This window comes from Homo sapiens, chromosome 14, assembly GCF_000001405.40.
Source record: "Homo sapiens chromosome 14, GRCh38.p14 Primary Assembly".
NCBI classification, from domain to species: domain Eukaryota; kingdom Metazoa; phylum Chordata; class Mammalia; order Primates; family Hominidae; genus Homo; species Homo sapiens.
Window position 1 is genome coordinate 46464712 of NC_000014.9, and position 18178 is coordinate 46482889.

The 18178-nt window shown below is 32.8% G+C and overlaps 1 long non-coding RNA gene across 4 annotated transcripts in view; it reads left to right on the forward strand.

The window, feature by feature from the left end:
- Positions 1-18178, forward strand: part of LINC00871 (long intergenic non-protein coding RNA 871) — a 437745-nt gene that overhangs the window by 400553 nt on the left and 19014 nt on the right. For 2 of the 4 annotated variants that reach the window (NR_102699.1, NR_102700.1), the window contains exon 1: positions 6648-6800. The exons of the other annotated variants lie outside the window; for them this stretch is intronic. This is a non-coding gene — a long non-coding RNA (long intergenic non-protein coding RNA 871). Of the gene's footprint in view, positions 1-6647; positions 6801-18178 lie in introns of those variants that run through there. 4 annotated transcript variants of the gene reach the window in all.

The window sequence follows — 18178 nt, forward strand, 5'->3', positions numbered from 1 at the left end:
CCCAAACTTCCAAATACCAACAGGTTTGCACTCAGGAATCATGGTTTGAGAACACTGAGAGTTTTCTGTGTAAACAGGCAGTTTTAACTTCTTTTTTTGCTTATTTATCTGAATAGGTATTTCAAATTTTTCCCTTCTTTTTACTCTCACCTATCTATAAAAGAAAATTATTTCAATCTTCTGTAATATAATGACCATTGAATTGAACCATGTTTAATTCTAGGTGATAATTACATAATACTTTAATAAAAATAATATTTTCTTTCAAAAATAGCAAGCAACATTTTCAAATTACTTTCCTCATTGTCCACAAAATTTGACATATTTTCTTTTCTTTTTTTTTTTGAGACAGAATCTCGCTCTGTCTCCCAGGCTTGACGTCTCACTGCAACCTCTGCCTCCCCGGTTCAAGCAACTCTCCTGCCTCAGCCTCCTTAGTAGCTGGGACTACAGGCGTCTGCCACCACGCCTGGCTACTTTTTGTATTTTTAGTAGAGACGGGGATTCACCATAGTGGCCAAGCTGGTCTCGAACTCCTGACCTTGTGATCCACCCGCCTTGGCCTCCCAAAGTGCTGGGATTACAGGCGTGAGCCACCCCGCCCAGTGGATATATTTTCATAGTGGTCAGATTCATTAACACAACTTCTCAAAAGAGAAAATATTAAAATGTGCAGAAATAGTTTAAAATGCCATTAAAATTTAGGATTTCATGCTATTTTCTAAATAAGCATTAAGCAATATAACTTTGTCTCTGTAACAGAATTTGCAAAGCTTTCTTGGAGTGCCAGTGTGACAATTCTGATTAAAAGTTAAATTGATCACTACTAGATGGTAGCCTAGGCAGGGATTATTGGTCCATATTGCTAATTCCTAAATTTGTGTTGGGACAATAAGATAATACATGTGTTATAATTATCAGTTCTAGGCATAGAATGGGCATTTAGTAAATACTAGTCATTATTTTTATTTTTAAATTAACATTTAATAAATATTTACTGTGTATCAGTCATGGTATTAGGTAATCTAAAAATTGATTTGTTAATCAGTCCTTTTAAATTTTTCAATTCTGAATTTTTACTAAACTTTGATTATTTTTATAGTCCATATATTATATAGAAATATATTTAATTTTATAAATTTTAGCACAATTATTTTTAACAAAAAATTGATACTTAATTATAAGTATACTCTATCAATCCAAATTAAATACTAAGGCCTTAACATATTTTTTGCAATTTTTTTACTTCAACATTTTCACACCATTTTTAGATTGTCAAAGCTCTACATAAAGATATTATCCACAGTTACTTAAAACATTCGTTTCGAAGTCTCATGATATCAATGATCATAAGTTATATTTCATGTAGTGTACCAAAAAAACCCCACACAACTCATAGAATAAAAACTACTTACCAGACTCTGTAGAAGATACAATGCATGACCTTTTCCTTAAATACTTAAATAATTTTTTAAATATCTCCCCTGCATTTTAATAATTTAACCTTAGGTATTTTCATTTTACAAATGTAGATGTGCATAAAGACATTAAAAGTCTTATAATCAATTAGATATAAAAAATAAGATAAAAATTGAATTCAGTGTATTGTCATATTTTAAATTAAGACTTTATTTTTAAAATAAAAATAATGTACATAGGTTGTAAGGAATATCAATCATTCTGTTATAGAGACACATGCATGTGTGTGTTCATTGCAACACTAGTCACAGTAGCAAAGACATAGAATCAACTAAATGCCCATCAATTATAGACTGGATAAATAAATGCAGTATATATATATGTCATGAAATACTATGCAGCCATAAAAAAGAATGATATTATGTCTATTTAGGTACATGGATAGAGCTGGAGGCCATAATCCTTAGCAAACTAATGCAGGAACAGAAAACCAAATACCACATGTTCTCAATTATAAGGGGGAGCTAAATGATGAGAACACATGCACACATAGAGGGGAACAGCAAACACTAGGGCCTATTGGAAGGTGGAAGCTAGAAACTGGGAAGTGGAAGAGGATCAGGAAAAATAACTAATGGATGGTAGGCTTAACACCTGGGTGATGAAATAATCTATACAACAAACCCCCATGACACATGTTTACCTGTGTGACTAGCCTGCCTTTGTATCCCTGAACTTAAAATAAAAGTTAAAAAAAATAGGTTTTTCTCTTAGCAATGATGTATCTAAGGCAACGGATTAATTTACAATGAGAATCAATACCGCCATGATGACCACACACTCAGTGTCTGGGATCGGTGCATACTGTTTCTATAAGGCAGAGTGGCACATAGTTTAGAATAACAAATGAAGATTGCTGGGGAGAGTATGACTTGCTGAGTTAGTTTTAAAAATGATTTTTTAAAATTAGGCTACTGATGCTTTAAAATGTACACAATTATATGATTTCTTTACGGTGATTTTTAATGCATAATGCATTAATGTGTTGATTTCACAATTCAGTCTCTGAGAGCAACATTCATATTCCTAAATTCTTAGGACTATAGCTCACGTTAACTTCAAGATAAGGATAACAGTGTTTCTGTTTACTCTTTTTGTTTGTTTTATTCTGCCTGCTAATTCTCATCAGTTCCACTCTCCTTTAACTATGACAGTAGTTGAATATATTTTAATATCTACAGAAAATTTTAATTTTTACTCTTCTATTCAAAACTATTTAGTTATTTTTGCCTCTTTCTTATTCAGCAATAATTTCAGAAGTACTTGTGTTTTTAAATTTTCAAAAGGGACATCTTTAAATTATTATTGTAAGGCCAGGCGCGGTGGTTCACACTTGTAATCCCAGCACTTCTGGAGGCCGAGGCGGGCAGATCACGAGGTCAGGAGATTGAGACCATCCTCGCTAACACGGTGAAACCCCGTCTCTATTAAAAATACAAAAAATTAGCCGGGCGTGGTGGCGGGTGCCTGTAGGCCCAGCTACTCGGGAGGCTGAGGCAGAAGAATGTCATGAACCCGGGAGGCGAAGCTTGCAGTGAGCCGAGATCGCATCACTGCACTCCAGCCTGGGTGACAGAGTGAGACTCCGTCTCAAAAAAAAAAGAAAAAAAAAAAAAGATTATTACTGTAGTTAAATGAATTACATAAATATTAGAAAAACTGAAATGTTTAGACCTTCAGGCCATATCATTCACAAACACGATTTGCTTCTTCATTGACTCAAGGTTTTTATATTAATAAATTTTTATTTTCTTCATTCAGGCCTTACATAATGTTCTTCTATTTTGTATTTATGTAGAATTATGGCCAAGATTTTTTTTCATTATAATGTACTATTGCTGGTATTCAGAAATGTCTTTATTGGAGAACTGGAATATTGGCATATTGGAAAAGTTATTTATCTCCATTTGAAATGGTCTTATATCAAGGCCATTTGTTGAATGATCTCATTATTCTTACCCATTTATATCCACCAGATCCAGTTTTATCCAAATGATTTTATTCGTTGAGGGAAGATTTATGACCTTATAGCAGGCATTGTGTGAACCTGGAAAGATATATAGAAATAAGGAACTTTTATAACCAGTGCATGAAGGCAACTTGTTCTAGTGAATGGGAAAGGATGAAAAGAAAAACAAAAAAGTGGATATTAAAGGTGGCATTGAAAAAAAGAACAAACATCCAGCCTAGAGAATCGGTGTATTACCATGCAATGCTTTATAGACTTGCCTCAAACCACTTTGCTTACCTTCAGTTATGGATTTGTGCTTGGCTGTGTTTTTCCTTGCCAATATGTGAAACCGCTCTATCTCATTTGATTCATAAAGTGTTGAACATCTTAAACATGTTTAATTGCCACATAATCATACATATTAATGGGTTACAGTGTGATATTTCAATATATGTATACAATGTGTAATGATCAAACCAAGGTAATTAGTATATCCATTACCTCAAACATTTATTATTTCTTTATGTTGAAAAAAATCAAAATCCTCTTTTCTAGCTATTTGAAAATATACACTAAGTTACTGTTAACTATAGTCACTCTACAGTGCTATCAAATGCTAGAACTTATTCCTCCAATCTAGCTGTAATTTTACATTTATTAACCAAACTCTCGCTATCCCCTTACCCTTTCCAGACAGTATATATAATAAAGTCTTGCCTTACTACTTTCAACAGGTATTATATTATTCTTAAAAATTATCATGCCAAAAAGACTTGTCTCTAGGCATCACTGTTCAGAGATTTTTGAATTTTGGGGCAAAAAATCAATCTGTGACTATAGACAGATCCTATAAAAATCATAGATATTCATTTGGAGTATAGTAGTTATAAAAGCCTTTCTTTCTACTTTCAGAAAATTTCAAGTGATGATTATTTTGGGGTGACGATGTTGAAAATGTATAGTATAAGAAAGAAGTACCTGCCCTGGGAAGCCATGAGCTGTGAGCCCCAAAACTTTGTTGGATAGTAAAAATTTTTTTTTATGTCCAGGTGCTACAAATACTAGTATTTATCTAAACAGAGTTAACACTATTTCCATATAGAACATATCTGTTTTGAAGAGGCATTGATCTCTTCCAAATAAAATAATGCCAAAATCTATTGATTTAATTGACATTCACCTTTTTAACCCCGAGCCTAGGAAATTTTCAGGCTTCATTGCACTTCTTGTCTGCAATATCTCTTTTTATATGTTTATATATATGTGTGTGTATATATATACATATATAAACATGTATATATATAGTGTATATATACATATGTACTATATATACACTCAATATATTTATAAGTTAGAACTTCTAAACAATGTATATTCAGCTTTCTGTTTTCATATTTTTTTCTAGTCTGGGGTAAACAGTATGGCAATATGTATCTGATGGGGTAACAGAGCAGTATTGTTTGCCCTATTGCTCCCTTATTTCAGCAACAAGTCACAATTGTACGAAAATACAGAAAAAAATCCAGAAAGACGTGGGGAATTACTTCTGGAGTATCACAGAACCAATAGTAAAGTTACAGCCTCTGGCTTGCCGGGGCTGTACTTCTTCACTATGTTATTGGTGCTGTTGTGCTTCTAATTTGAAAAGAAAAGGGAATTCTGTTGTCACTGGGGCAGCTTTTGGATATATGGCTAATATATATTTTTAAATTTTCTGGCACAGAGGAACATCCTATACATTTATTTACTATTTTGTTTTAAAATTTCTAAGAATATGTTTGCATATGAATTATATGAGAAAATATAAAATTTGGGAAAATTATACACAGATATATTTTTGTAGTTTATCAATTATTATCAAATAACATTTTTAACTATGAAGTGAAATCACAGGCACAAAACCTAATGGGCCTTCAATCAAACATTATATTTTCGAGCAATGTTAGCCTTACAGATGTTTTTTTCTGATCAACTATCTGGCTATCTGGCTATCTGTCATAGACTTAATTAGCTCGAAGACCAAGAATTCACTTTATTGTTTTTAAAGAATTTCTTATTTGTGTTACCCGGCGAAAAATTCAAATGTCAAATCTACAAGCATACTAAGAACTCAAAACACTGTTGAGAGACAACAGGGAAATGAATTTTCATCTAGAAATCAAGAGACACAGGTTCTTATCATATTTTAACATCAGGATTACATGTGTGACACTAGGAAAATCAGTTCTTCTGGTTTTCAGGTCCTTCCTTTACAAAACAGAATGGTTGGACTAAATAATCAATGCAAAAATATTTTGATATTGTCACATAGTCATGTTTAATGGCTATTGGATATTGTAGAACAAGAATTATAGAAGTGAAGTGGTGATTGTTACATTTACCATAATGAATAATCATATCCTTGGGCTTATATAAGGATCAGAGTTCAAATAAAATTTTAAGATTGTTGAAATAAATTATTTTAGCTCTTCTACTTTCATTTTCTTTTCTATGATTATGTAATCTCATGAATTATGATTAATTTATGAATAGTAGACAATATATTATGCTATGCCACTGTAGCGGAAACATAGACTCCAAATAGATTTTTCTAATGGCAAGGTGAACATAACCAAAGACTGATGTTTGAATTCATATGGCTTTCTTACATGTAGAAATTGCCTTCTAAGAAAATTAGCTCAGCCCCATTTGAATCAAACTTTGGAATGTGTGGTAAGATACAAGGGAAAGTTTTACCATTGCAGAGCCCAAATTTTGCTGACTAGGACTCTGCCACAGTACCTCCTGATTCAGAAAAGAATAAACAATATACAAACTAAACTCTGCTGAAGTAATCATTTTCATTAGCTCGATTTTCATCTCACCCTGAATTGACCCTGGAGCTCTATTTATACTTAAACTTTAAGTATAATTGTGAAATACGGTAAATGAGGAATACATGAACCTGAGTAAATTTACAAAGTCAGCTCTGTAAAAACAGATTCTTAGAGGTCAAACTAAACTAATATGTAAATCTGTAATGGTTTTCACCTCCAGAAATAGAGGTTATTCTTTCCCTCAAAATAATTACCATCATTCTAGCTTTGTAAGTATGCATTGTTATTGCTTTGTAAGACAAGCTGATTTCAAATCTTGCTTTTCCTCTGTTTTTTAATCCTTATTATAGTATTTTTATGTTGCTCTATTCTTCTTTTAAAATGTTTCTATTTTCTTAATGCAGAAACAATTGATCTTGATGGAACAATCTTGTTTTTATATAAAATTTCAAGCTGGTGATGACATGTGTAAAAGGAAAAGTGCTGCAAGCAGTAAATGCTGTTCAGTTTGCAGTCCATTACATCAACATATCTAAATGATCCTCTTTAGCCCAGTAAGTACCTATACTGTGCTTACTCTTTCCAAAATGTTTTCCATTTCTTTAAAATCCAAGTTGATGATAACTCTTTCATAGGGCAGAATTCAAGTAAATATTGTAAAGGAATAAAGACTTTGCAATGACCTTTCTATATGTGATTATACAACGCAATCCCAAATTATTTGAAGAGCTAAAGATTAGGCACTCTAAGCTGGGAGTTGAATGAGGAGACCTAAGTCAACAACGATAATTTACCTTTTATTTTTTAATGTAGAAAGTATTTGAACTATCATGTATATTTTTCTCTATGTTGCTATTTAATACTAATAAGACTTGCCCATGACTAATTTATTTTTTGACTGGCAATTTAATTATGAATAAGCCAACAAGATTATCTCATACTTCAAAGGAATAGTCATTTTCCTAACAGTCTTTGTATTATCTGATGTATATTTAGGGAAGTTATCACACTAGCTTACCACCAATTATAGTATTATTGATATAAAAAATTAAGACCACATAGAGAATGATTACAGAAAAGTAACTACAAGACATTTGAGGTTAGTTGTAATGGAATTATTAAATGAAAACCAAAGAAAGTATTTGATTTAGATCAGGCAAATAGAATCTTCTTGACTCAAGGCTCCAACCTCATTTTATTCGATATTAAAACATTAAACTAACTAATTAGTAGTTCCAAACACATTTGCTAAAAATCTAATCATGTTTACATTTTAACGAAACTATGGCTTCCATGCTCTTCCAGATTTGATATCCAAATACTGTATGCAACTCCTCAATTATCTAGCAAAGCAACTGACAGCAAATCAAGACAAGGTATAGGAGACTATAACACAATTGGAGAGCACATGCAGTTCTGAGAGAGAGAAATGGAATGTTAAGACTAATAAGACATCTAGCATGGTTCTTGGAACAGTGGGAGACAGATTGTCTGTTGCTTGATTGGAAGATTGATGCAATGACAATGTATGAATGGCTGACTCCACTTGGCTAGCTAGTATAACCCCGTTTGTAATGCAAACACATTCAATCGCAATGTTACTATAAAGTCCAGTACCAAGGCAAAAACACAAAGTAGAAAGACATCTGAGCAGCATGTGAATTATAATGTTAAAGATTTCACCTTTGAGTTATTTCATTTACTGAAGAATAAATAGGTTTATTCACGTCTGGATTTATTTTGCTTACTAGCTTAGCCACAGATACCCATAATGCTTGTCAATCAACTATGCTGGTTCTCTGTGGCCATCACAGTGAGTATTTTTATAAAAAATACTGTGAAACAGATGCACACATAATAGGAATATAATGGTAGGAAAACCATTTCTGCCACCTAAAACTATTCTACAGAGAGATTCTTGACTTTTAATAAGGTAAAGAGAAAGGATTCCATAAGCTTTAAGTCTTATAGTATTTATATTTTATTCATACTTACAAAAGGGATTATATTGAGTATTTAGAATTCTTTTTTTTTACTTCTAATGTAATTTTATTTTACTAAGTATTTTTAGGATTTTCCATTTATTACCTTTTAAAATTTTCATCCATGAGAACAGAGCTTTCCATATTCAACATTTCTTAAGCTATGCATAATTTTTATGAAGTTCTTATTTTTTAATGGTTTTTTAAAAAATTTTATTATTATACTTTAAGTTTTAGGGTACATGTGCATAACATGCAGGTTTGTTACATATGTATACATGTGCCATGTTGGTGTGCTGCACCCATTAACTCATCATTTAGCATTAGTTATATCTCCTAATGCTATCCCTCCCCCCTCCCCCCACCCCACAACAGTCCCCGGTGTGTGATGTTCCCCTTTCTGTGTCCATTTGTTCTCATTGTTCAATTCCCACCTATAAGTGAGAACATGCAGTGTTTGGTTTTTTGTCCTTGCGATAGTTTGCTGAGAATGATGGTTGCCAGTTTCATCCATGTCCCTACAAAGGACATGAACTCATCATTTTTTATGGCTGCATAGTATTCCATGGTGTATATGTGCCACATTTTCTTAATCCAGTCTATCGTTGTTGGACATTTAGGTTGGTTCCAAGTCTTTGCTATTGTGAATAGTGCTGCTATAAACATACGTGTGCATATGTCTTTATAGCAGCATGATTTATAATCCTTTGGGTATGTACCCAGTAATGGGATGGCTGGGTCAAATGGTATTTCTAGTTCTAGATCCCTGAGGAATCGCCACACTGACTTCCACAATGGTTGAACTAGTTTACAGTCCCACCAACAGTGTAAAAGTGTTCCTATTTCTCCACATCCTCTCTAGCACCTGTTGTTTCCTGACTTTTTAATGATTGCCATTCTAACTGGTGTGAGATGGTATCTCATTGTGGTTTTGATTTGCATTTCTCTGATGGCCAGTGATGATGAGCATTTTTTCATGTGTTTTTTGGCTGCATAAATGTCTTCTCTTGAGAAGTGTCTGTTCATATCCTTTGCTCACTTTTTGATGGGGTTGTTTGTTTTTTTCTTGTAAATTTGTTTGAGTTCATTGTAGATTCTGGATATTAGCCCTTTGTCAGATGAGTAGATTGCAAAAATTTTCTCCCATTCTGTAGATTGCCTGTTCACTCTGATGGTAGTTTCTTTCGCTGTGCAGAAGCTCTTTAATTAGACCCCATTTGTCAATTTTGGCTTTTGTTGCCATTGCTTTTGGTGTTTTAGACATGAAGTCCTTGCCCATGCCTATGTCCTGAATGGTATTGCTTAGGTTTTCTTCTAGGGTTTTTATGGTTTTAGGTCTAACATTTAAGTCTTTAATCCATCTTGAATTGATTTTTGTATAAGGTGTAAGGAAGGGATCCAGTTTCAGCTTTCTACATATGGCTAGCCAGTTTTCCCAGCACCATTTATTAAATAGGGAATCCTTTCCCCATTGCTTGTTTTTGTCAGGTTTGTCAAAGATCAGATAGTTGTAAATATGTGGCATTATTTCTGAGGGCTCTGTTCTGTTCCGTTGGTCTATATCTCTGTTTTGGTACCAGTACCATGCTGTTTTGGTTACTGTAGCCTTGTAGTATAGTTTGAAGTCAGGTAGTGTGATGCCTCCAGCTTTGTTCTTTTGGCTTAGGATTGACTTGGTGATGTGGGCTCTTTTTTGGTTCTATATGAACTTTAAAGTAGTTTTTTCCAATTCTGTGAAGAAAGTCATTGGTAGCTTGATGGGGATGGCATTGAATCTCTTATGCAAGATTATAATGTTTCTATAAGCATTGCATTTTGAATTCTATGCTGAATAGATATTTGCAAACCGTGATGACTCATATTAAACTATAATTTATATTTTTTCCAATTTTCCATTGTGAATTCTCTTTGTAACTTATTCTAATGCCTTAAAATGTCCTAAGCGAAGATCATTATTATACAACGTAATAAAGATTTTCTGCTTCAGATGAAACTAGTCTTTTTTTTTTTCTGAATGTAGAATATCTGGTCATTATTCTTTATAATTTATGCTTAAATTCTTTTGTTAGGTGAACGTTATTAAGTACCACATTAGTCCTATATTTACAGTTTCTGTAAGTAAATGTTTGGGAAATGAATGAGTTTCTTACTTAAAGCAATTTTTTTCTTTCATTTGAGTTTTGCATTTTCTACCTATAGTGTTCTTGTGCAATTATGATACTTCCCTTACTAGATTTGTTTTCTTTTTGAATTTGTTTTCAGTGATCTGCTTTCTGATTTAACAATTTGGATAGAAATTAGGAGAATGGTAAGATGGTGGCCTGATAATTTATGATAATTCCATATTCCTTGCAGAAAATTTAAAGAATAATTGAACATGGTTGGTGCATAGTAGGTACGTCAGGAGCATCTAAGACTGCATTCTTTTTCGTTCTTGAAGTATTTATACTTTTAAAGTTAAAAATGAACTCTGTGATTTTGTATACACTAACTTTTTAAAGTATCTAAAAAATATATCAGTTTGCCTCACTAAGATTGAGCCATTACTTACCAATTCATTTATCACTCACTTTTTACTTGTCTTCAGCCTTATTCTTTTGACTGTACTTTATCACTAATAAAGTTCTTAATATTTATTCTTTATTTAAAGAGACATTTCTGTAAGTAAAAAGATCCCAGAAGGACTGAAAATATGAAATTTCAGAAAAATATATATAAAAATTTATTAAGTTCAGCAACAGTAATACCAATTAAACTAGTATTTAGGAGAAATCTTGTCAAACTGATAGAAATTATAGGTAAATATATACCAACAAATACTATCAAAAATACATTTGGAAAATTAACGGCAATTTAAAAAAAGTAATGTACACTAAAACAAATTAAAAGTAAATTTAATAATGCAATTAATGTTGATAAAACGAAATATTGCTTAAATTGATCCAAAAACAGAGGTTAATTTTTGGTGCTTGTTCTTTCCAAAATAATAAAAATAAAATATTACACAAATGTCTAGTAATAAAAATCACAGGGAATTAAAAAAACATAAAATTAGGAATAAAAAAGGAAACAAAACTGTAATGTAGTAGAAATTGAAATATATGTAAAACAATAACCAGGATAAATTGCATGCCAATACATTCAAAGACTGAAATGTAACTTATAGTTTTATAGGAATATATTAATAATTTTAACTCATGAATTTATAGCAAACAAATAAAATATAGCCATTAAATAAATTGAATCTGTAGTAAAACAGTTTTATAAAGGACACTTTTTATTGGTATGTTTACTAATCCAAGAGGAAGTTAGTTTCTATTTTACATGAAATATTTCACATAAAATGGGAAAGATATCTAACTTATTTTTATACCAAAATTGGAAAAAATACAAGAAATTTGCAAACATTTTTTCAGTTAAAAATTTGAATACAAAATATTTTCAGACAAAATGAAGCAGAGTACTAGAATTTATATATCAGGATAAAGTAGTACAAATACCGTGAATATAATGTCATTCACCATCACATAAATTTATCAATGTAATTCACCTCATGAACATAAAAAATATTTTACCAAATGCAACAACTCTTCTTAATTTAAGAAAAAAAGACAGGCAAAACAAAAAACTTGGTGAATTAGGGGTAGATGAGATATATTATCTGCTGAAAAATTGTAGCAAATACACTTTTATATGTTTTGTACATTTGCACTTAGTGTTTTGTTTTTTAATTAATTTATATATTTTTAAAATTATAATATTGATTTTTAAATTTCCAAGGTAGATGTGTTTGTGTGTCTATGTGCCTGTGTGTGTCTGTATGTGCATACACATGTATTTGTGGGTTTGTGTGTGTGTGACAGGAATAAAAAATCAGAGAGAGAGAAAGTACCAAAAACTGGCTACCTCTAGAATATACACTGAGTTTGGCAAGAGAGAAGGGTGTGTTGGAATTTTCTTATTTTATTGTGTACAATATTTAATGTTTGTATATTTATACAATATACATATATTATTTTCTTTATTTTGTTTTGGAAACTTGTGAGTTGTTTATTTCTGGACTCTTTCTTTTTTAAAAACTTTTAAGTTGAAGGGTACAAGTGCAGGTTTGTTACATAGGTATCATGGGAGTTTGTTGTACAGATTATTTCATCACTCAGGTATTAAGCCTAGTGCCCATTAGTTATTATTCTGATCCTTTCCCTCCTGCTACCTTCCACTTTCCGATAGGCTACCATGTTTGTTTTTTCCCTCTACGTGTCCATGAGTTCTCATCATTTATTAGGTTGGTGCAAAAGCAATTGCAGTTTTTGTCATTAAAAGTAAGAGTTCTCACTTATAATTGAGAACATGTGGTATTTGGCTTTCTGTTCCTGCATTAGTTTGCTAAGGATAATGGCCTCCAGCTCCATCTGTGTTCCTGAAAGGACATTATCTCATTCATTTTTTACGGCTGCATAGTATTCCATGATATATATGTACCGCAATTTCTTTTCCAGTCCATAATTGATGGGCATGTAGGTTGATTCCATGTCTTTGCTATTGTGAGTAGTGCTGCAATAAATATGTGCATGCATGTGTCTTTATGATAGAATGATTTATATTCCTTTGGGTATATACCTGTAATGGGATTACTGGGTCAAATAGTATTTCTGTCTTTTGGTCACTGAGGAATCACCACACTGTCTTCCACAATGGCTGAAGAAGACATTCATGTGGCCAACAATCATATGAGAAAAAAAGAGCAGTATCACTGATTAGTAGAGAAATACAAATCAAAACCACAATGAGATAACATCTAACACCATCAGAATGCCTATTATTAAAAGTGAAAAAAATAAAAGATGCTGGCGAGGTTGTGGAGAAGCGACACTGTTGGTGGGAGTGTAAACTAGAAAAGTCTATTTCTGATGTATTGACAAATCATGATTCAGACTATGGCAGTCAGAAAGCCAGTCCCTGTATTAGAGTAAATTTATCATGGAATAGCCTTTCTAGGAAGAGTCTTGGGAGGCAACATGATAGCCTTCTCCTGGTGGTATTTGACTTGACTGCTGGGTGCACATGACTTTTCTTCTGTGATTTCACATTTGATATTTAATAAATATTATGATAGAATGGTGAAATTTTGATTTGTACGATAAAATATATTGAGAAATTATGGTATCAGCAATAAATTAATATGTCTATTTCTCCTACGTTCAAGAAACGTAATTGCTCTGAAGTGCTTAAATGTGAAAATAAACAAGCTAGATGAAAATGCAGGTGAAAATTTGCCTCATCTCTGGATGAAAATCACTTTCTGCGCATAAAAGTAATAAAATAGGGTTGAGCACGGTAGCTCACACCTGTAATCCCAGCACTTTAGGAGGGCAAGGCAGGCAGATCACTTGAGCTCAGGAGTTTGAGACAGCCTGGACAACATAGTGAAACCCTGTCTCTATTAAAAATACAGGAAATTAGCCGGGCATGGTGGTGCATGGCTGTAGTCCCAGCTACTCAGGAGGCTGAGGTGAAAGAATCACCTGAGCCTGGGGAGGCAGAGGTTGCAGTGCACCGAGATCCCGCCACTGCACTCCAGTCTGGGTGACAAAAGTGAAACCCTGTATCAAAAATAATAATAATAATAATAATAATAATAATAATAATAATAAAATATAAAAAAGTTAATAGATTTTACCTCAACACATTACAATTTTATCTAAATATCAAAAAGTTAAAACTACAGCTGAAAAAAAATTAACTATTAAAAAATAAGGAAATACGATAGTATCTATAGCAAATGAACATTCAAAAGAAAATGTCAGGCCAGGCATTGTGACTCAGGCTGTAATCCCAGCCCTTTGGAAGGCCAAGGCGGGAGGATCACTTGAGGTCAGGAGTTCAAGACCAGCCTGGCAAACATGGTGAAACCCTGTCTCTAATAAAAATACAAAAATTAGCCAGGTGTGGTGGCGGGCACCTGTAGTGCCAACTAATTGGGAGGCTGAGGCATGAGAATCACTTGAACATGGAAAGTGGAGATTGCAGTGAGCTGAGATTGCACCACAGCACTCCAGCCTGGGCAACAGAGCGAGACCCTGTCTCCAAAAAAAATAAAAATAAGTCAAAACCCACTATTAATAGACAAAGACCGTAAAAAATTCACAAAGGAGGAAATATATAGGATTAATAAAATTATAAAAACGTGCCCAAGGTAGTAGTAAAATAAACACAACAACACAAAAATGAAATATCTTAACTGTCAAATTAGAAATAATTAACAACGATATTAATATTTAAAGATTGAATGAGACAGGTAAAGTCTTATACTAGTTGGAAGGTAAAATAACAAACTTTTTAAGAAGCAATTTGTTGATATTTACTTAATTTTGTTGATCCATTCTTTATAAGGAAAAGTGAATTCTATGTCCTGCAAGAAAAACAGTTGCAATCTCAGGCAGTCATTCCAAAAGATACAAAAAATAAAGAGCAATATTAAACATGCAAATTCGTATTACTAATATTTTGTTGGTACTAGTACCTGTGAAGTTATCACCAAGCTACTTTCAGAATAAGTCTGGCAACAAATCTCACCTAATCTCCCTCTTCCTCTCCCTCTCTGTCTTTGGTGGTGATAATGATGAATGAGAGGTAAGAAACTAGTTCTCTAAGTGGAATACACACACAGGGTGTGCATGCACACACACACACGTTGCAGTTTGGATTCTTTGGGACAATTGGAGACCATGTCTAAATGTCTAGGTTTTTGAGAGTGTGCTCTAGAGAATAATTAATATTCTTAATTACTTCTTTTATTCTTGCTCTCTTAGCTTGTTTCTCCTTTCTTCTGTTCTGATCAATTCATTGTAGCACATAGCACATTCTCATAACCAAATATCAAACATGATTTTAGCTAGAGAAAGTATTTGAGTCTTAACATACAGTATTATAATTCTTCCTTAGAGATAATTTCTTCTGGAATTACTAGACTTGTGGTGTTTGCCAAGGGCATGCCTATGGGGAACATGAAATAAAGCAGCAGATTTAACTTTAGGTGACTGTAGAAGTAACTAGTAACTTTTATGCCACATGAAATATTTACATGGTTAAAACAAGCTCTCTCATATCAAGTGTTAGGCCTCTCTGTGGGCATTCCTAGAACATGTGGATTACTCATTTCTTAAGGGTTTCATCTCCCAAAAGAAAAAATATTGTACATGTTTATATAAGAATTTAGATATATTAGCATACAATCATCCTTTGGGTTCCTTGAGAGGATTGGCTCCAGGACTGCTTGAAGATAGCAAAATTTACAGATGCTCAAATTTCTTATATACTTATCTCTATCCTGGGACTGCAAGAAAAATGGAGTAAGCAGAGCATTGACTGGAATGACTGTGAGACCATACGTGACAAGGCATGTACAATAAGGATACTTTTAATATGACATTCAATCATTAAGAACTCCATCTTTGAAGCCTTAATAAGTTTCAGAATCTATTCAAGGAGTTCAATATGTATTGACTTGTTTTATCCTCACAACGCCACAAAGATAAAGGCACATTTATTATCCTTATTTTAAAGCTAAGAAGATTGAGTTAGAGAGTTTTGCTTGCCCAAGTTCACCCAGATCTTAAGTGACAGAGCAGGATTCAAATCCAAAAACTTCGTTTAATATACTGATATCTGACTTCATTTCAGTGAAGGTATGTGCACATCTATCCAACTGCAGTTAATTTGGCATTTATTTTTAAGTAAAGATTTTGTAAAATTTATTATCTGGTTGATTATAAGAACAGCTGATGAATCACTATTTTAAAATCTTCATAGTTTCCATAAATAAGCTAATTTCCTTTAGCTGCTTCATACTGGAGATTTTATAGAAGCCAAAGAGTTGCCAGTACAGTGCCCTCTTTTATGTATACTTAACCCAGAATGTAGGACAAGTTTGAAAATCAAGGTGCTCAGAGTACGTTTCTGGAACCTCTTCACTGAGTAGCTTCTGTGCATGGAAGAACTGTGACCTGAAGAACAGGAGTATCTGTGATAGACAGAGGCTGTGTAAACCTTTCCCTTCTGTGTATGGACACAAAACCAGGTCTTGCTTGCCAGTAGATGTTGACACTGGTGAGTGAGATAACGAGGGAGTTACCCCTCCCTCCTGCCCCTCCAGTATCTCATCTCTAACGTGATTATTATAGCAGTTCTCTAAAATTCTTTCCAGTTAGAAAATTTATGCACTTAAGTTGCTGTGAATATTCTCACTGAATCTCAAACTTCCCTAGTCAGAGACTTTTAAAAGGCTACCCCTTGGCACTCCAAGATTGTTAAATTCAATAAAATGCTTACCATGAATTCTAAAAGTGTTGCCAATGTGCCATTCAGATATTTACAAAATTTTCTCTTGACTTGAATAGAAAATACCTTACTTCTAAATTGAGATCCTTTGCTTTTGCTATCAGAAAAAAAAATGTTCATGGGAACTAAGGAAGTAATAAGAGGGGAGGGGAAGAGAGAAAGAGAGAGATAGGAAAAAAGGGAGCTGGAGAGATAGTGCTGGTTCATAGCATTGCAGAACAAAGCTAAATGCTAACTGTGACAGAGTAAGGTTTATATGGCTATCACTTCCCATTGAAGTTACAGGTTTCATTTATTCAAAATGTTTTTAAAGCAGTCAGGTATTCAGCCAGCCCAAATAATAAAAAAAAAAAACTTGTATCTTCCTCAAAGAATGAATTTGATTCTGATTAATGAATAGCAGAGAGCTAGCTAATTTTATTTTTATACTAAATTTCACAGCATTGAACGCTCTTGATAGAAAAATCAATCACGTAAAATACCTCCTGTCTTCAGGAATAGAATATCTAAAGTGCTTCTGAAGAGAAAGGCATTAGATTTTAAATAATTGAAAACAATTTTTTCAGACAATTCATCTTCTTTAGAATTGTTTACCAAATAAAGGCTTAGAATAAAAACGACAGTACATGTGAGAATTATCTTTCCAGGAAAGGATCTTTTCAGGAAAGGATCAAGGAGAGAATACAAAAGGGTAGCATAGGAGGGATTTGAAACTGTCATGATGACAGATAGTACAAAATTTAGATAGGAGAAAATGTATAGTCATTGATACTGTTTTGTTTCTGTTTGAAAATATGGAGAGGTAGACATGTTTGGAAGTGATTGTAATACAACTTGAAGATAAGTTGATAATGAAGGAAAAAGAGCTAGGCAGTAAGAATGATGGGCATGATGAAATGAACAAGAATTATTATTGTCTCAGAAAAGGAGAGAAAAGGGAAGAGTGAAAAGAAAGGCAGAAAAGTAATTTCAGTGGTTTTAATATCAATTTAAAAAACACATTTATATTTTCAGGAGTGAAAATAAAGGAGACATGACTTCAGGAATCTTCTCATAACTGTTCCTTCTGGTGCTGCTGTTAAATAATCAAATTTCACCACACTTCTGCCTAATAGTAATAGTGAGGGCAGTGACCCATGCCTAACACCAAACTGTAAACTATCAAAGTTCAGAAAATACCTAACTAAATCACAGAATGTCTGTTAGGAATAGTTGTTACAAATTATTTGAAACTGGACCAAATTTTAATAAAAAGAATCCAAATAGGTTATATTACTTGAATTTGTTGATTTTTAAGTATTTTAACTTCTAAAATTATTTTATATCCCAATTAATTAAAGAATATAATTTGATGTTATAATTTCTAAATTCCAACTCAGATGCACATGAAATATGGCAGTATGACAAACTTCAGTATTGTAAGAACTCATCTACATCTTTATGAAATTTAAATTGTTCTGAGCATATTCTGAAAGCATTTTCTGTGAAAAAAATTAAGATTTTAGTTATCAACAAAACATTCATTTCAATATACAGAAAAGTAGACAATATCATTCAAGTGATTTTTTTCATTCTTCTTGATAGCAGGAGTATAATGATAGCCTTGTTAA